Source organism: Homo sapiens, chromosome 2, assembly GCF_000001405.40.
Source record: "Homo sapiens chromosome 2, GRCh38.p14 Primary Assembly".
In the NCBI taxonomy this organism is placed as follows: Eukaryota; Metazoa; Chordata; class Mammalia; order Primates; family Hominidae; genus Homo; species Homo sapiens.
Window position 1 is genome coordinate 76,606,085 of NC_000002.12, and position 21,488 is coordinate 76,627,572.

Sequence of the window (21,488 nt, forward strand, 5' to 3'; positions counted from 1 at the left end):
TAAAAATGGGAAATTAATAGGAAATATGGAAATTAATAGAAATTAATAGGAAATAAGGAAATTAACAGGAAATATGGAAAGAATAATGATAATATCAGACAAAATATACTTGATATAGTTTGGATATTTGCCCAAACTTCATGTTGAATTGTAATCCTCAATGTTGGAAGTGGGGCCTGATGGGAAGTGTTTGGGACATGGGGCCGGTTCCCTCATGGCTTGGTGCTGTCTTAGATGTAGTGAGTTCTCTGGAGATCTGTTCATTTAAAAGTGTGGCACCTACTCCTTGCACCCGCTCTCTGGCCCCTGCTTTAAATATGTACTGTACCTACTCCCACTTCACCTTATGCCATGAGTAAAAGCTTTCTGAGGCTTCCCCAGTAGCAGAGTGATGTCAGTGCCATGTTTATATAGCCTGAAGAACTGTGAGCCAATTAAACCTCTTTTCTTTAGAAAGTACTCAGTCTCTGATATTTCTTCATAACCATACAAGAAGGGCCTAATATAATACTTTAAGATAAACAATCTATAACTAGATTAAAAGGATCTTTATAGTCATGTATTTATAAATATATATTCCCCTTACATATTAAACATATGTAAACAAATATTTTATATAGTTCTGTTTATAAAATATAAAATTAAAAATAAAGTTATAAATGTCTTCCACATATGTATACCCTCAAAAGTGAATTGAAATAAATCAAAAATTGCTGCAATATGAAAGACCATTTGACACACCATGACATCAGAGTGTTACATGAGTGTTTAAGGCTTTGACTACCTAAGCAGGCAAACATAAACACACACACACACACACACACACATTGATGATAGCTATATCGAGATATAGATGATTGTTCAATGAAAACGTTGTTCAAGATAATAAAAACATTTAATTATATTTGTATCTAATATACATATATGCCTATAGATACACTATAGCATATATAAACCTATTTTACATCAAACATTTGCACTTTAATGAATATGTTTTTGGTTTACATATATCCTTGGAATAAAAATAAGCTTTGATAATATTTTAGGCACCAGAAAAGTTACAGTACATTCACAATTTAGCAATTCTATCAACCATATCCTTCAGCTTCAATTAGTAGAGGTTTAATTTAACTGCAAAAATTATTTATTGAGTATATATTATCTTCCAGGCAATGGATTTACTCAGAAACTGGTAGATTTTTTTGAATCAATAATAACTGAGTTAGAGATTCTAATCATTTTGAAGTTAGTAAAATATGTCTTTTTATAGCAAAGAATTAAAACTGCAAATTGCCATTTCAAAGTAATTACAAACTATTATTAATAATAATAACATTTATTAAAAGTAACATCACATTAGCAAAGGTGTAATGTCAACTAATAGCCAAAAAATTTAAACAAGAAAACGTAATAAGAAGAAAGTATAATAAGCTAAATGGAATAAATGTTGGAGGATGTAATTGATGATAAAGATAAAATTAGCATGTAGTTTATTCAATTATAGAAAAAGGAGAATTGATAAAGGGAAGACAAATTTATTTAAAAAATAATAAAATAGACAAACTCAGATAAGTTCACTCACCACCAAGAAGGAAGACAAAATTTTAAAATATTATGTATGAAAAAAGAATATATTAACACTGATATAGATGTGATTTTTAAAACATAATTCTAATGTGCTAATTTGAAAACCATAATAAACTATACTATTTTGAAGGAACTTACAATTTTAAAATATTGTTCACGAACAGTTAGGATAATTTAAGTACAATAGTAATAGCTAAATAATAATGCAAGAAACTGAAAGAGTTGTCAAAGAACTAAGCAGAAAAGAGTAATCTCATGCAAATAGTTTTCATACTAGGTTTTAGGAAAATTCATTTATGTTCTATTTTAACTGCTTAGGGATTTAAAAAATCTTAAGAGTCTCTAAAATCATTTTATAAAACTTATATAACCTGAGAAAGAACAGACACACAAGGAAATTAATGTTGGTTTTGCATACAGAGTCAAAAATACTAACTATGTTAACCAAAAAAGCTTACATATAAACTAGTGAGATTCATTCTGGGAGTGGGAAAAGAGTCTAATAATAAGAAATACACCAACAGAATTTATTATGTAAATTATATGAGAGAAGAGAGATTTTGCCTTTGTATATTATTTCATCCCCAGTGACTATAATAGTATGTATTTTATATCAATTGCTCAATAAACATTATCTGAATGACTCTTCATCATCAGTAAGTGGAGGAAAAATACATATAAAGTAACAATAGCTAGGATTTTATTCATTGCTTACTATTTATCAGGCACTGTACTAGACGCTTAATCTAGTTAATTCCCACATCTACCAGTGAAGTGGGTAGAAAAAGTATGTAAGCAAACTGAGGCATAGAGCAAGTAAATTGCTCAGTCGTGTGGTGAAGCTGAATGAAGCTTCAGTGAGGGAAGTCTGCCTCTGATCTAGAAACTACACTATATTGTTTATAACGTTTACATGACAGAAGAGCAATTGATAGGATTCAGTATTTATTACCAAAAAATTTTAACAAATCTCATTGATTAATATACTATAAGGATAATTTTTCTTAATACCAAAATAAAAATAAATGTATATGTAATAATTATAATAGCCAGAAATATGCTGAGCTATCATATGGACTAGGAAACACCAGAAGCATTCTCATTACAACTAGAAAACAGGACATGAATAGCACAACTTTATTTAGGACTTTAGGACTGTTTCGGGGTTTGCAATGAGACAGTAATTAGAAACTCTGAATATTCTAAAATAGTCAAAAGTGACACTATTTGCAGATAATGTTACTTTGTTTTTAAAATTTTAATTACAAAATATTCAAAATATGTTGATGATAATACAACTCCATTATATGGACTACCAAAATGTAATAGTTATAAAATTTTGCCATGTAGTCATCTTATTTCTTATCTATAAAAATATGAATGAAAAATTACAGGTAAAACTAAAGCTCCACCCCTAAATTATGTGGACACTTTCCCTTCCCCTACTTCCAAATTAGTATTACTATCTTGAAATTGATTTGAGTATTTCTTATCCATGGTTTTGTATTTTCCAACATATATGTGTATCTTAACAACAGATAATATGGTTTGCATTTTTTATAACTTAACTACATTTGCTTTTTTTTTTAGGTAGAGTCATTTATACATTACATTTTGAGATTCATTCATGTTGTTATTGGGAGTCAATTTGTTAATGTAAATAATATACATACTGTTTAATGGGTTTTGATAATCAAGGTATAGGAATTTCCATCACCCCATAAAGGTCTCGGTGTCCCGTTCATTGACCTCGGTTTTCCTCCTCCCAGCATCAGGGTTTCTTTCACTGTATGTAGATTTATATCCAACAAGTTTTTATGGTTTGTAAGTAATTCTCTGGTTGCTTTTAAGATTGGGCTTGGTCCTTCAGGTTCATTGTTATGTATCTAAGTTGAGATTTATTTTTAATTATTTTGCTTAAGATTTTTTAAAAAACTTTTCACCAATTTAGGAAAATTCTCAGCAAGTACAAATTCTATTGCTTCTTTTCCCCAATTTCTTTATCTATTTCTCTAAATCCTATTATTCACAGGTAGGATCTTTTCACTTTGTCTTTTATTTTGTAGCATTTTTACTGCTCCATTCTTTACAATTTCTTCATATCTAACTTGGATTTGATGAGTTCTATCCATGTAAATGTCCAATCTACTGTAGAACTCATCTACTGGCTTTTTGGGTTTCTTTATAATCTTTAAAATATGTAGATATGGTTTAGCTCTTTTAAAAATCTAACCACTCTTTTATTTAAAAAAAAAACAAGATTCCAACACTTAGTTTCTTAACCATTGTAAAAAGATATTTTTATTATATTTTAGATTATTTTTTCATTACCTGATATTGATCCTTTCAATTATTGATGTTTAAGATTTGCTTACTATACCAGTTTATTACTTTCTTGTGTACTGTGTAAATTCTGATGATAAATTCACATTTATAGGGCTTTTATTTCTTTGTTTTAGAATTCCTTGTGCCTCAGGATGATCTCTCTAGAGTGATTTTTATTGCTTTCTGCAAATCAATGCTTACATGATCGGTTTGGTTTAATATCACTATCTATATCAATTTCTCAGATTAAAAGTTCCAGGTCCACTCAGGTTGCATGAACTGGAACACCAAATTTCGTTAAGTTATATGCTAGAGGTTTTAAATTCTCATAGAAGACTTTTCTACATCAAGAGCTCAAGCAAATATATGCAACATTTTTGTCATCTCTCATAATTTTTTAATATTTATATTTGTATCTGAGATTGAACAAAGTTTCTTCAAACAGATTATCTTTATTAGAGAAATAACTGCATCAGTTTCAATTCTTCCTTTTTCTTGAGTTATGCAGTAGGGTTGAGGAATCTTGAAATATAAATTTGGGAGTTTATATAAGACACATGTCATAGAACTTCTTCGTCCTCTCCAAGAAAAGGAGGGGGGAAACCCTCTTTGTCTATTGTAAGTAAATCCTTTGGAATTTAAATGATAGCTCCAGGTATCATTCTCCTTAGCAATAATGCCTCCGGGGAGAAAACTTTCTCCTCCAGAGAGATGGAAATCATGTTTTAAATTCCAAGGCCTGCCCTTTAACCATGTTTTAGGTTTCTCTGTTCAGAAGGCCTTAACCATGCAGATATCAAAATATTTTCTCTACAATAACACAGTCTCCGAGTGTAGGTAAGTAAAAATTTTCAATATCATTTGTTCAAATAAGATGCATGCAGGCTTTCTGATAGTCCCAAACACATATAAGGGCCTTAATTCCAACTCCACAATTCACTCAGTTTGAAGGTATTATTATTATTATTATTATTTTACCTGCCTGGATATTAAAACTCAGGCCTACATTGCCAGGATCAGGAATCCCCTCAAACTCCATTCTAATGCAATTGCAGTCATTTTAAGTTCTTTATTTCTGGTACCTGAGAATTTTTCTTTGTTTTTTTGCAAGTTGTTCTTATACTCATTAACTTAAAAAAACACTCATACAGCATTTCTAAGTGTTTATAGTGTTTATGTCTGAAGGATATTCAAGTTATGTTTGTCACATTGTCAGAATTGGGCAACCGATGATTGTATTTTGTAACAGTAATAATAACAGAGGTCAATAAGGTGTCTGGATAAAACATGAATGCAACAGATGTTCAATATGCAGCAATAATCAACTAAAAATGAGTGTGATTTAATCTAATTCAAAATAGTAGCAGCATATGCTCAAGGGTATCTGGTGCTTTACAGAAAAAAATAAGGAAAGAGAAACTCCTGTTGAGACAGCAAATATCCTGACAATATTCATACCTTTTCCCTACTAACTCATATGCTAAACATATATTCTAAGCAAATTATGAGGGATGTGTGCAAAAATGTCTGTAAAAAGATGTTCATGAAAGTGCTTTGTATAGATAGGTAGATATGACTCATAAAATGGAAAAAACTAAATGCTCAATAGCAGGATATTGGTTAGTTAAATTATGGTGTGTAGTGTTAAATAACATGCAGAATTTAGAATTATATTGTAGAACAATATTAACATGAAGACACATTCATAATACAAAAACTTATAAAAAAGCAAGGCACTAAGTATATGTAGAATTCAATATTATATTTGAGATGATAGAAGTATATTAATTATTAGGCATCGTCTATGTGCCAGGCACTCCTTACGTCTGTTATCTTAGTTACTTGTAACACAGACTCTATAAAGAATTATGCTATATATTTAATGTCTGGGAAAATTGAAGCTAGGTTAAGTGCCCAAGGATTCACAGTGAGGAAGTAGAAGGCTAACATAAGAACGAAGTAATTGGCCTTCAGAGGCTGCTTGGTAATAAGGGAATATTCTAAGGCTGCATGTTCATGTCACTCCTTTAATACATTAGATTTTGACTAATTGTCATTTAAGAAATCAAGGCAAACAAAAAATATAATAAAGTGATAATGTGGGTTTCTGGTAGGCATTTAACAAAGATTCATGTAACAGTATAATAATATTAAAGTCTTGGAAGGTTTTAGAGCATGCCATAGTTAATGTGTAAATATTGTATTTAATGAATTTCTCATCCTTTTTATTTCTTATAATTTCTCAATTTATATATAGTGTCAGATTCATTGTCACATGAGCCACTTATAGAAGTCATCATGTTAGAGTTCATTACAACTTATTTTTATTATGTTTATTCTGGTTAGAGATTATGCATATGTCAACAAGGACAAAGGAGAAAGCACTAAAAGGTGTAAAAACAAATTTTCAAGTACCATACTATCCCACGTACCATACCTAGAAACACATGTATCTGGGGCACTATGAATTCATGTGTGGAACTGAAGTTGAGATTCTGGTAAAGAGCAGAATAGGAAAACAAAAAGGAATTAGATTTTGTTGCGTTGTTACTATTTCCCATATCGAACTAAATAACAGGAGACTGTCTTAAAATGAAATTTATTTGAGAGTGGTATTGCAATGGGAATACATGTGCCATAGTAAATTATGTGTGTGTTCAAAGAGGTTGAGGCAATTGAAAGCTTTTAAAGGCAACACGAGGAAGATTACGTAAGTTGTTCTGAATCAATTATCCTTGGCTACCAGAATCAATAGCAAGGGTGGCCTCAGTCCAAGATAGGACAGTTAGCTGCTAGACAGGCATCCTTGCAGAAGTATTTTCTGTGTAAGGTTGCAGTGGCCTTTGTGCAAGATTGTGGTTTTTGCATAGTCTTTTGTGATAGTTCTTATCAGGCATATATGCATGAAAACCCTCCCATCACAACTTTCCTTGGCTCTACTTGTCAGGATTTGACACAAGTGACTCCATTTTGATTCTAACAACTTTCACAACCACATGTGCTGCAGACACGAGTTTAATTAAACATCAGAGTAAGTGTGTTTTTTTGTTTGTTTGTTTTTTTGGAAAAGCAGGTTATTTTACCTTTATTGAGTGAGAAAAGTGAAGTTTGAAGAGCGCTGGGGTGTTTCTGGCAATGCTGGAAATTAAAGCCAGTCTGACCCTCTGAGAAGTGTTATTTCTCTCCTCAAAAGTAGATGGGATTCTGGCTATTCTTTCATGGAGTTTCACTCTCCATTCACAAATCAAACAAATTTTAAGAAGAACCTAATATATTTGCTAGACACTCTACTGGAAGCTAGAAATTGTGAAGGCAATAAGAGTGTCCCCAACAAGGAAGAGCTCTGAGCCAGACAGAGGACAGAGACTAGACATACAATCAGAAAACTGGGTCCCATTGAGATAATTACTGACAGGAGAATATAAGGAGTGCTGCAGGAGGTTGGGGGAAGCCCAGCTTCTCTTGAGTTTTTGGAAATGCTTTCCTAAGGAGGTGGTAGAGATTTAAAGCATTGCAGACAGTAGCCTACAAATAGCTGCTGAGGGCTTCCTGCTGGTAGATTCCTAAAAGCAGCTGCAAGTTCTTACCATACTCCTTTGCATCAGGCACTGTAGGGATCACCTCATGGGAATAATGCAAATTGAAAGTAATGTATTTGATTTTCAGAATCTCATCTCTCCCTTGGAGATTTCACAGCTACCATTATCCCTAGTAATATCAAGTCCTTGAAGAAATGGAAAACATGTCTTCTCTTTCATTCCGGAGGGAATACCAACCTTATAAATAAACCTCTTTTTTTATGTGATTCTTTCTCCAACACTCAAAAAATTAAATCTTAGATGAGCACTAATTATAAACACACACACACAATACAAAGAGTTTATACTTAGAACCTAAAAAATAAAGTATGAAAAATGTCAAAAATGTCTTTTTAAACCTTTTACTCAGTTATATGTTATTGAACCTCAAATATGTTTTTCCAAATAAGACCTATTTTAAAAATCCAAACTCATATATTAAAAGAAAACAAATATCTTTTTGTACCTAAAAATCTGGTTATTTTCATCAACACTTACCCAAGCCATTAAAGTGGATGAATGTTAGACACCTTCCTCAGCTCCATCCAATGGATCACCTTATCTAATTCATTGTCTTTCTTCCTTTAAATTTTTATAATCATTGCCTTAGTTTGTCATCATCATTTATATTAAGTCATTAAGTAGTCACTAAGATTAATCTTAACTATTAATATCTTAGCTCAAATCCTTATTATTTCCCACCTGAATTTTTATAATTACTCCCTAATTGGGCTCCAGGTTTAGAACCAACCTTATTACCAAATGCAAACACAATTAGATGATATATCTACTAAAACAATCCTATATATAGCCCTTCTTTACAAAATTAGTTCTATGTGCCTTACCACGACATGCAAAGTCCTCCATGATCCAATCTTTTCCATTACATTTTCCTTCCATGAACATCATACCTACGCTTCTAAATTCTAACCTGTATTGAATCTTCCAATTTCAGAATTGGCCATGCTCTCTTACGTCTCCACATATTTTTCTTTTCACTTGCTATTTTTCTGTTAGGGAGTCTCTTCCCATTTCTCAACTATTTAGTACTTCAAATATTATCCCTAGTAAAACTCCTTTACTTACCTAGATGAAGTTAGGTATTTCTTTTTCCTGGAGTCCAAACTCTCTTGAGATTCTTTGACTGAATTTGTGTAAGTCCTAATTACTTTTTCCCCAGTAGCACAGCATTTTAAATAGGGCCACATTAGCATCTATACCTTTTTTTTTTTTTTTTATTTTCTACCTTCTATTTCAGGAACTCCGTTCTATTGCTACCTCCTTATTATTTCTGGTTGTCCCTGGTTATCTATCTAAAAATAACAAACGCTTATACCCTGTGTGATTTATTGAGGTTGATAACAGAGGCAAAATTATTGTCAGTTCCTTCTTCTTACCTTTGCACAGCTGGATCCACTGATGTTTTCCATCCAAACTTATTACGACCTCAGTCTCTAAGTAAATCTTTACTCAAGTGGCCAGCAGAAAACCACATGCAAGAGAGCTTAAAAAATCTGCCCTTTGACCAGATGGGAATTTAAATTTCCTAGTATGAATGTCAGGCTCATTCATTGCTCCCAAGAACCCCCTTGCTTTCTAGTTAAACCTCGGATACTGCACACCCAGTAAAATATTCTTCACATCCATGCTCAATAAATATTACACACCAGCCCTGGGTTTATAAGTTGCCATTCTCTTTTTATGATTTAAGCTGAGATGCAAGAAAAAGCACAAATACATGTTTGTTAAAAGATAAATGATGTTTGGGGAGAGTAATGCTGTTCAGCCAAATCAATAAGATCAGCTTCCCTTTTTTTATCTATGGCCAGCTTGGCTGTTTCCCCAGGTCCTAATCTTCCCTTTTCCTACTCTCAGCTGTTTTCTATGCCCAATTTATGGCATCTCCCACTAACTGCTGGGTAATCAAACTTGAAGAGCATTCAAAACTCTACTTCCAGAATTACTAACCGGGCCCATAATCTGCTTGTTGTTGCCACATACTGACATTAGCAAACCTCCTTCAATTTTTACCCTCAGCTTTCAATATTTCAAATTACAACAAACGTGGAGACAGGGAAAGACTGTAAAGAGAATCCTAAATAAATTATTTTATTAGCGTCAGACACAATTTTCCATTGTAAAATAATAGATAGCTTATAGATCATCTCTCCCAGTTTTAGCTCAGTACAACCCAAATTCCTCAATTCTATTTTGGAAACTACCTGCATATTTTAAAAGTCTGTGAGAAAAAAGACATACTATAAAAATTAACTTTTAGTTTATTTAGTTTATATAATAAAATTAACTTTTAAATTATTTTTAATATGTTTTATAATATACTAAATCCATCTATATATGATTTATATATTAAGGTACATATTAATTTCATTAAACAAATCCCTTGAGGCTGGGAGCAGTGGCTCACACCTGTAATCCCAGCACTTTGGGAGGCCCAGGCGGTGGATTGCTTGAGCCCAGGAGTTCCAGATCAGTCTGGGAAACATGGAGAAACCTCATCTCTACTAAAAACTGAAAAACTTAGCCACGCATCATGGTGCACCCCTGTAGTTCCAGGTACCTGGGAGGCTGAGGTGAGGAAGTCACCTGAACCTAGGAAGTCAAGACTGCAGTGAGCTGTGATCACGCCACTGCACTCCACCCTGGACAATGGGAGTGAGGTCCTGTCTCAAACAACAACAACAAAAATACCAAAACAACAACAACAACAACAACAAAAACCTCTTGATGACTACCATAATTAAGAACTCAGTAAGTCTAAATGTAGTTTCTAGAAATTATCTCTCCATTACTTTCTAGTAACTTGTATATCACTATATGTTAAAATTACCATATGTACTATGTTTCATGTTTTTAGTAAATGAAAATTAGCACCAGATCCAAAACATACATGAAGATTAAAATCTACATACGGAAGAATTTCTTAAATTTTGTCATTCATTACCATTCATTACTACCTCCAGATCACTTCCCTTCGAAGCCACCAAGTTTACTGTCAGATTCTGGGATGTCTCCAGTGAGGTCAAAAGAACTTGAACTACCACTGAACTACTCTTCTACATTTCAGAACATTATAGTTTGAACTGTTTTATTTCTTTTAGAAGACCTGCAGATATAAATTGCTAACATAAGGCACACCATTCGTCCTAATACTAAATGTTCCCCTTAGCACAAGTTTCTTTTTTCCTTGAACTAGTCTCCAGAAAAATACTTTTATTTTAATAGTGAACTACAGCATTTACAGCAGAGCCAGAAAAAATTATTTCACATAGTTATTGCCATTGCTGCTTGGATTTCTTGTCAGCTACTCATTTTAAAGTATGGGGATTTTTATTAGCCAACTTCCCAGTCTTTTTCTATTTATCAAGCTCTGCTTGGTAAGATTTGGGAAAAACTTGCACGTTTGTAGGATTTCTGTGACACATTCAATTGCCTAATAGCTACATTCAATTAAAAATAACTATTGGATAGTGTAGAAAATCTCTGATAAAGTGAAAATAGGTTAATCTTGTTTTACTAACACATGATCTTTAATCCAGTTTCCAAGGTTACTTGTGTACTAAATTTGTATTTTAGATGTACTAGAGGCCTGCAAAATTAATCTCAAATTTTGACTCGTGCATGAAACCAAGTCTATTTTGGATTTTCACACTGTGTGACATCTTATGAGATAAGAAACATGATTATATCAAAAAGTCCTGACTTAATTGTGCCCCAGACCTAAAAAAGACTCAATGATTACCTTTCGAAGTGTTATTAGAGCAGATAATGCAGAAAAAGGATGTTGGCATTTGTCTATTTTTCCCTTTACATCCAAAATAGCAACTTTGTCACAAACTTTGCAATCCTAATAAGGAATCAAATCTTTTAATTTTCATGCTTATTTCAAAATTGTTGCTCACAATTGTTGATGATTAAGAGAAGGTATAAGACATAGCCCTGATCTCAATGAGTCCAAATCAAGGAAGGGAAAACAAACAAACAAACAAACAAACAAAAAACCTCATATAATTAATAAATGCTAGAAACTAAGGACTAAAAGTAGTAAAAGACAAAATTTTAGAAATTCAGATGAAAGAGTTAATATATCAAGAAAAATTTCTTTAAAAAATGTAGAAATTAAGGAGCGCCATGAAAAACCAAACAAAAAGGAGAGCCAATCAACAGCAGCATGATGGGTGATTCCCACTGCCAAAGTCAAAACATGGAACAGGCTATAAGCACTTCCCAAGACCTTGTTATATCATTATTAAATTCTATTGCAATGTACTGTGCTAGATAGCTGTGAGAGACTTGAATTCTCATTATGTTTTCTCTGTGAACATGTGCCATTTAGTAGAGTTTTAATACTTGTAAGTACAAATATTTACATTTATTTTTATGATTTTCTCTCTCATACACATATATTTATTTATTTACTTATCTCGAGTTGTACACATGTATGAGGACCATGTGAAATTTTGTTACATATATAATGCATATATAATGCATAGTGATCAAGTGAGGTATTTAGGGTACCCATTTCCCAAGTACAATAAATTTTTATTAATCGCCGTTCTATGCTTTGAAACATTGAATTTATTCTTTCTATCTTAATGTATGCTTATACCTTTTAACCCATTTCTCTTCACCTTCCCCTCTCATACCTACTCACCCTTCCCGTCTCTGTTATGTTTTTCCACACTCTACCTCCATGTGATCCAAGTTTTTAGCTCACATGTATAAGAGAGGACTGCAATATTTGTCTTCTTGTGCCTTGGTTATTTCACTTAAGATAATTTTCTCAGCTGGGCACAATGGCTCACACCTGTAAATCACAGCCATTTGGGCGGCCAAAATGGGCAGATCACTTGAGCCCAAAAGTTTATGATCAACCTGGGCAACATGGCAAAACCTCATCTCTACAAAAGAAATGCAAAAATTAGCCAGATGTAATATCATGTGCCTGTAGTCCCAGCTACTCAGGAGGCTGAGGTGGGAGGATCAATTGAGCTCAGGAGGTTAAGACTGCAGTAAGCTGTGATCACACCACTGCACTCCAGCCTGGGTGACAGAGCAAGACTCTGTCTCAAAAAAGAAAAAAGATAATGTTCTCTAATTCCACCCATGTACTGCAAATGACATAATTTCATTATTTTTTGTTGATGAATAGTATTCCATTCTTTGTTCATTCATCCATTAATGGACATTTATGTAGATTCCATATCTTTGTGATTGTGAATAGTACTGCAATAAACATGTAAGTGCAGGTCTCTCTTTGATATAATGATTTATTTTCCTTTTCCTTTTGGTAGATAGCTGGTAGTGGGAATCCTAGATCAAATGGTCATTCTGTCTTGAGGTTTTTTTGTTTTTTTGAAATCATTATGCTTTTTTATTGTGGCAGTACTAGTTTACATTTCCAAAAACAGTGTATAATAATTCCCTTTTCTATTCATTCTTGGCAACATCAATAATTTTTTATCCTTTTAATAATAGCCATTCTGACCTGGGTAAGATAATGTCATGTTGTGGTTTTTATTTGCATTTCTCAGATGATTAGTCATGTTAAGCATTTTTCATATTTCTGTTGCTCATTTGTATGTCTTTAGAGAACTGCCTGTTCATATTCTGTCTTTTGCCCACTTTTTAATGGGGTTATTTGGCTTTTTTTTCCTGTTGTGGTGTTCCTTGTATATTTTGGATATTTATTCCCTCTTGGATACATAGTGAGCAAATATTTTCTCCCATTCAACAAGTTGTCTCTTTACTCTGTTGATTATTTTCCTGTGTGGAAGCTGTTTTGTTTTTTTTTGTTTTGTTTTGTTTTTTTTAATTCCCATTTGTCTATTTCTCTTTTTGTTGCCTGTGCTTTTAGGGTATTAGTCACAAATTATTTGCCTATACCAGTGTCCAGCAGAATTTTCCCTAGGTTTTCTTCTATCATTGTTATGGTTTCAGGTCTTATGTGTAAGTCTAATCCATTTTTAGTTGATTTTAGTATGTGGCGAGAGATGGGGTTTAATGTCATTCTTCTGCATATGGATATACAATTTCCTCAGCACCACTTATGGAATATTTTCTTTCCCCATTGTAAGTTCTTGTCAGCTTTGTCAAAGATTTGTTGGCTGTAAGTTAGCGTCTTTATTTATGGGTTCTCTATTCTTTTACGTTGATCTATGTGTCTCTTTTTATATCCAAACCATACTGTTTTGTATACTATAGCCTTGTAGTATACATACAAATATTTATAAATTTATTTCTATAAAATGTCAACTTTTATTTTAGAAAAAAAGGTTTTCTACATGGTTTTTTACATGGAAACATTTTATGATGCTGAGGTTTGGGGGTATGAATCCTGTCACCCCGGGAGTGAGCATAGCACTTGATAGGTAGTATTTCAGCCTGCATTTGTTCATGTTTGTTGGCTGCTTGTATGTCTTTTGAGAAGTGTCTGTTCATGTCCTTTGCTCATTTTTTAATGTGGTTATTTGGTTTTTGCTTGTAGGTTTATATAAGTTTCCTTTAGATTCTGGATATTGAGCCTTTGTCAGATGCATAGTTTGTGAATATCTTTTCCCATTCTGTAAATTGTCTGTTTATTGATAGTTGCTTTTGCTGTGCAGAAGCTCTTTAGTTTAATTAGGTCCCACTTGTCAATTTTTGGTTTTGCCGCAATTGTTTTTGCGGAGTTAGCCAATAATTCTTTGGCAGGGCTGATGCCAAGAAGATAATTTCCTAGGTTGTCTTCCGGGATTTTTAGTTTGAGGTCTTACATTCAAATCTTTGATCTATTTTTAATTAATTTTTGTATACGGTGAATGAGAGGAGTCAAGCTTCAATCTTCTGCATGTTGCTAGCCAGTTATCCCAGCATCATTTACCGAATGGAGAGTCCTTTCCCCATTGCTTGTTTTTGTTGGCCTTGTTGAAGTTCACATGATAGGCTTGTAGTTTTATCTCTGAGTTTTCTATTCTGTTTCATTGGTCTATGTGACTGTTTTTGTACTAGCACCATGCTCTCTGGGTTGCTTGAGCGTTATAGTATAGTTTGAAGTCAGGTAATGTGATGCCTTTGGCTTTGTTCCTTTTGCTTAAGATTGCTTTTTCTATTCAAACTGTTTTTTGGTTCCATATACATTTTAGAATAGTTCTTTCTAATTATGTGAAGAAAGATGGTAGTTTGATAGAAATAGTGTTGAATCTGTAGATTGCTTTGTGTAGTATGGTCATTTTTAAGATATTAATACTTCTAATTCATGAGCGTGGAATGTTTTTCAAATTATTTGTGTTATCTCTGATTTTTTTCAACAGTGTTTTTTAGTTCTCCTTGTAGAGATCTTTCACCTTCTTTGCTGTATTTCTAGGTATTTCATTTTGTTTATGGCTACTGAAAGTGGGATTGTGTTCTTAATTTGCCTCTCAGCCTGGATGTAATTGGTGTACAGGAATATTACTGATTTTTGTAAGTTGGTTTTGTATTTTGAAACATGTTATTTATCAGTTCTAGGAAACTTTTGACAGAGTCTTTAGGATTTTCCAGGTATAGAATCATATCATCAGTAAAGACAGATACTTTGGCTTCTTTTTTCCTGTTTGGATGCTTTTATTTCTTTCTCTTGCCTGATTGCCCTTGCTAGGACTTTCATTACTATGACAAATAGGAATGTTGACAGGGGGCATCCCCTTGTCTTGTTCCAGTTCTCAAGGGGAGTGGTTCGAGCTTTGGTCCATTCAGTATAATGTTGGCTGTAGGTTTGTCATAGATGGCTCTTACTATTTTGAGTTATGTTCCTTCAATGACTAGTCTATTGAGAGTTTTTATCACAAAGAGATGTTGGATTTTGTTGAACGCTTTTTTCTGCATCTATTAAGATTGTCATATGATTTTTGCTTTTGAATCTGTTTATATGCTAAATCACATTTATTGAATCGCATATGTTGAACCAACCTTGCATCCCTGGAATAAAGCCTACTTGATTGTGATATATTAACTTTTTAATGTGGTGCTGAATTTGGATTGCTAATATTTTGTTGATAATTTTGGTGTCTATGTTCACTAAAGATATTGGCCTAAAATTTTCTTTTTTCATTGTATCTCTGCCAGATTTTGGTATCAGATGGAAGTTAGCTTCATAAAATGCGTTAGGGAGGAGCCCTTCCTCCTCAATGTTTTGGAATACTTTCAGTAGGATTGGTATTAGTTCTTCTTTGTAGGTCTGGTAGAATTTTGCTGTGAATCCATCTGGTCCAGGGCATTTTTCGGTTGATAGATTCTTTATTACTGATTCAATTTTAGGTGTTGATATTGGTGTATTTAAGGTTTTAATCTCTCCCTGATTCTATCTTGGGATACTGTGTGCTTCCAGAAATTTACCTATTTTATCTAGATTTTCTAATTTGTGTGGAAAGCATTCTTCATAATAGTCTCTGAGGATCTTTGTATTTCAGTGGGATCAGTTGTAAGACTGATTTTATTATTTCTGATTGTGCTTATTTGGGTCTTCTCTTCCTTTTCCTTTGTTAATCTAGCTAGGGGTTATCAATTTATTATTTTAAATAAACAACTTTTGTGTTTTATTGCTTTTGTTGTATGGGTTTTTGCATTTCAATTCCATTCAGTTCTCTAATTTTAGCTCTCTTTTCTTCTGCTAGCTTTGGGGTGGTTTGTTCTTTTTCTTTCTAGGTGCAAAGTTGAAGTATTAATTTGAGATCTTTCTAACTTCTTGATGAAGGTATTTAGGGCTATAAGCTTTCATCTTAACACAGCTTTTGCTGTATACAATGATTTTGGTAAGTTGTGTCCCTATTTTCATTAATTTCAAAGAATTTTTTGATTTTTATCTTAGTTTCAATCTTTACCCAATAATTATTCAAGAGTAAATTGTTTAATTTCTATGTATTTGTGTAGTTTTCAGAGATCTTCTTGATATTAGTTTCTATCTTTATTTCACTGTGATCTGAGAGTGCGCTTGGTATAATTTTGATTTTTTTGAACTTACCAAGACTTGCTTTCTGACCTAGTATATGGTTGATCTTGGAATATTTTCTGTGGGTAGGTGAGAAGAATGTGTATTCTGTCATTGTCAGGTGTAGTGTTCTGTAGATGTCTCCCAGGTTCATTTGACCAAATGTTGGGTTTAAGTCCTGAGTCTCTTTGTTAGTTTTCTGCCTTGATGATTTGTCTAATGCTGTCAGTGGGGCTGTTTATGTCTTCCACTCTTACTTGTGTGAATCTCTAAGTATTTTTATAGGTTAAGAGGGATTTGTTTTATGAATCTGAATGCTTCAATGTTGGGTACATATATATTTAGGATAATTATATCTTCTTGTTGTATTGTACCCTTTATCATTATGCAATGTCCTTTTTTGTCCTCCTTAATTGTTAAAGGTTTAATGTCTATTTTGTGCGATATAAGAATAGCAACTTCTCTTTTTTGTTTTCCATTTGCATGGTAGAACTTTCTCCAACTGATTACTTTCAGCCTGTGGGTGTCATTATGTGCGAGATGGTCTGTTGAAGACAGCAGACAGTTGAGTCTTTCTTTTATGCAGCTTTCCATTCTGTGTCTTTTAAGTGGTGTATTTAGCCCATTTACATTAAGGATTAGTATTGATTTGTGAGATTTTAGTCCTGCCATTGTGTTTTTAGTTGATTGTAATGTAAACCTGGTTGTGTAATTGCTTTTTAGTGTCTGTAGGCTGTGTGTGTGAGTATTTGTGGTAACAGGTGTTCTTTCAATTCCATATTTAGCACTCTCTTAAGGATCTCTTGTGAGAAAGATCTAGTTGATTCAGGTTTCCTGAACTTTTGCTTGTCTGGGAGAATTTTATTTCTCCTTCAGTTGTGAAGCATAGTTTATTGGGGTATGAAATTCTTGGTTAGAATTTCTTTCCTTTAAGGACGCAGAAAATCAACTCTGAATCTCTTCTGGCTTGTAAGGTTTCTGCTGAGAACTCTGCTGCCAGCCTGATGGGAGTCCCTCTGTATGTAACCTGACCTTTCTCTTTAGCTGCCTTTAAGATTTTTTCTTTTGCATTAATCTTAGTGAATTTAATAACTATGTGCTTCGGGGATGGTCATCTTGTATAGTATATAGCTGGGGTTCTCTGCATTACTTGAACTTTCATGTCAACCTCTCTAGCAAAATTGGAGAACTTTTCATGGACTATATCCTCAAATATATTTTCTAAGTTGCTTATTCTCTCTCCTCTCTTAGGAATGCCAATCAGTTGTAGATTTCATCTCTTTATACAATCCAGTATTTCTCAGAAGTTTTGTTCATTTTTTTAGTTCTTTTTTCTTTACTTTTTCTCACTGAGTGGATTCTGAGAACCAATCTTTGAGCTCTAGGATTATTTCCTCAGCTTGGTCTATTCTGCTGTTAATCTTTCGATAGTATTATGAAATTATTGTATGAATTATTCAACTTGATGAGGTCAGTTTGAGTCTTTCTTAAAATGGCTATTTCACCTTTCAGCTCTTGAGTTGTTTTACTGGATTGCTTGGCTTTCTTGGATTGAATTTCTACTTTCTCATGGATCTCAATGAGCTTCCTTGCCATCCAGATTCTAAATTCCATGTCTGTCATTTCAGTCATTTCAGATTGGTTAACAACTATTGCTAGAGGACTAGTATTCTTGTTTGGAGGTAAGGGTAACCTCTGGCTTTTTGAATTGATAGAGTTCTTGCACTATTTTTTTTTTCTCATCTGGTAGTGTCAGTGTTCCTTTAGCTGTGGTTTAAATTGAATATAGTCAGTTGGTTTCATTTCTGAAAGTTTTCAGAGGACTTAGGCTCTGTACAGGGTGTTTCTTGTAGAATTTTTGACCTTGGCCTTGCAGGAGAGAGAATTAGCAATGTTTTTTTGTCTGTTTTGTGTGTGTGTGTGTGTGTGTGTGTGTGTGTGTGTGTGTGTGTGTTTGGTATTGTTGTTTAGGATGTGGTCCAATAGATGGTGCTTAAGAGCAATGGGTGGTAAATAAGCTCTTACTCAGCCACTTGGCTCTTTTGTGTATCCTTGGATTTATTTGCAGCTGTGCTCTGTGGTGCCAGGGGGAAAGTAGTGAGTCCTCAATAGGTTCATTCCTGGGCCTTGGGGAAGTCACTTCCAATCATTGGTATTGTGTCCATGATTTTGTTGTTGTTGTTAGGTGTTTTAGGCTGCAGGGCTCCCTTCAGCAGAGATCTGGAAGTGACATATGCCCCATGTTTACCAGACTAGCCTTGTGTAGCAAGGCATGCCTAGTTCTCCCAACAGCCTGTGAACCTCTGTGACTCACCTCTCTCAGTTTTCTGAGAGTGTGGGCTCCTCCCCAGCTCATGTGCCAGGCATATATCCTGGCTTAGCATTTCCAAGTCCTGGGGTACCAACACCTGCTCATGCCTCCCTCCTCTGGACCATTGGGGTTGGGTTCCCTGTGCCCTGGGTGAACTGAATTGTCTCCCAGCCTGCTGGAATTCACTCAGGTGTAGCAAAGCACCCTGGCTGGGCAGCAGAGGCTGCACTGAGTACACACTGCTATTGGGGTAGCCCAGCAGGAGCCCTGGGAGGGGCTGGTGGGTAGATGGGCCCACAGGACAGGGATTCCCCAGTCCCATTGGGAAATTGTCCCTGATTCTCCTGGTCCTGTGGTTATCAGTGGCCAGAGCCTCTCAGAGAGAACTGGGGGGCCGTGGGGAATGAGTCCCTATGGCCAGCCTTTACCACAGCTGTGCCATAAACAAAGGCCCCCAGCTCCACACCTGTTGAAGCTCCATCTCTGTCAAATCTCCAGGAAGATCCCCTTGCCAGCTTAAACATCCATGGTGGGTTTCGGTCTCCTGCAACTAAGATTCCAGAGGTCCCAGCAAGTGTGAGCCGTCTTCCAGTTTCTTTACTCACTCATTCCCCAGGAGCTATTTGAGGCTGGGAGCCAGCACTAGCATTTGAGCACCCTGAATGGGGTTTTCAGCTTTCTCACTCTTCAGTTTCAGCATTTGCAGCTTCTCTCCATACGAATTTGTCATTTTCTCTCTGAAGATCTGTTCAAACTATGTTGGTTTAATCAAAATCCTGGTCCCTCTCATTGGGAGCAGCACTTCCTGGTTGCAACAAGTTGGTTATCTTTTCCCCTACTCTTGTGATACATTTTGAAGTCAGGTGATGTGCTGCCTCCAGACTTACGCTTTTTGCTTAAGATTGCTTTGGCTATTCAGGCACTTTTTTGGATTCATGTACATTTTAGGATTTTTTTCTTTTAATTCTTTGAAGAATAACCTTTGTATTTTGATAGAGATTGCATTGAATCTACACGTTGCTCTGAGCAATACAGCCATTTTAATGATATTCTTCCAATTCATGACCATGTGATGTTTTTCTATTTGTGTCCTCTTCAATTTCTTTCGTCAGTGTTTTGTAGTTTTGCTTGTAGAGATCTTTCACCTTTTTGGATAAATTTATTCCTAGGTATTTTATTTTATTTTTTCTTATCTTAGTTTATTGTTGTAGCTACTGTAATGGGATTGCTTTCTTGATTTCTTTCTTAGCTACATCATTATTGCTTTATAAAACTGCTACTGATTTTTGTATGTTTATTTTATATCCTGCAACTTTACTACATTTATTTATAAAAAGTTTCTTGGTGTAGCCTTGAGGTATTTCTAGGTATAAGAACACATCATCAGCAAATAGGGACAATTTTACTTCCTCTTTTCGAATTTGGAAGCCTTTTACTTCTTTCTCTTTCCTGATTGCTCTGGCTAGGACTTCCTATGTTGAATAGGAGTGGTGATATTATAGGGAAATCTTTTTCGGGTTTTTAGAGAAAAGGGTCTCAGCTTTTCTCCATTCAGCATGATGTTAGTCATGGGTGTGTTGTATATGTCCTTTATAATTTTGAGGTATGTTTCTTCTATGCCTAGTTTGTTGAGAGTTTTTATCATGAAGGTATGCTGAATTTTACCAAATACTTTGTCTTTATTGAAAAGATCATATGGTTTTTGTTGATTTTTAAATTTTTTAAAAAATCCCCCTTGATCCTGGTGTAATATCTTTTTGATGTGCTGTTGGAGTTAGTTTGCTAGTATTTTGTGGGGAAACTTTGCATCTATGTTCATCAAGGATTTTGGCCCATAGTTTTCAGGGTTTTTGTTGTTGTGGTTGTGGTTGGGTCCTTTTTTGGTTTTACTATCAGGGTGATGCTAGCCTAATACAATGAATTACGGAGAATTTCCTCCACTTACCTTTTTAAAAATGGTTTCAGCGGAAATGATATTAGCTCTTCTTTGTAAGTTTGGTAGATTTGGCCATTAAACCATCTAATTCTGAGCTTTTCTTTTTGGGGAGATATTTTATGATTGATTCAATCTTACTACTCACTTTTCATCTGTTTGTGTTTTTTATTTCTTCCTGACTCAGTCTTGATAGGTTGTATGTGTCCAGAAATTTGTCCATTTTCTCTAGGTTTCCCAGTTTGTCACCGTATAGTTTTTCAGAATAGTCTCTGATGACCTTTCGTATTTCTGTGGTATCAGTTATAATGTCTCCTTTTTCATCTTGATTTTGTTTACTTGGATCTTCTCTCTTGGTTAGCCTGCCTAGTGGTTTATCAATTTTGTTTATCTTTTTGAAGAACTTTTTGTTTCATTAATCTTTTGTGTTTTTTTTTTTTTTTTTTTTTTTTTTTTGCCACTGTTTTGGTAATCCTGCCTTGATCTTTATTATTTCTTTCCTACTGCTTATTTTGGGTTTGGTTTGCTTTTGCATTTCTAGTTCCTTAAGATACGTTGTTAGTTTGTTAATTTGTAATCTTTCTACTATTTTGAAGTAGACGTTTATTGCTATAAGCTACTTTTTGCTATATCCACAGGTTTTAATATATTTTATTTTCATTTGTATTTGTTTCAAGAAAATGTTTGATTTCCATCTTAATTTATTTGTTCACTCAGTGGTCATTCAGCATCATGTTTTTTAATTTCCATGAGTTTGTATAGTTTCCAACATTTTTCTTAGTATCAGTT

The 21,488-nt window shown here is 34.1% G+C and overlaps 1 annotated feature.

The window, feature by feature from the left end:
- Positions 18,249 to 18,894: an enhancer, noted in NCBI's record as "NANOG-H3K4me1 hESC enhancer chr2:76851459-76852104 (GRCh37/hg19 assembly coordinates)". NCBI's record gives its function as "activates a minimal SCP1, AML or CMV promoter by ChIP-STARR-seq in naive H9 embryonic stem cells {active_cell/tissue: H9 hESC(naive)}" and the evidence as "EXISTENCE:reporter gene assay evidence [ECO:0000049][PMID:30033119]".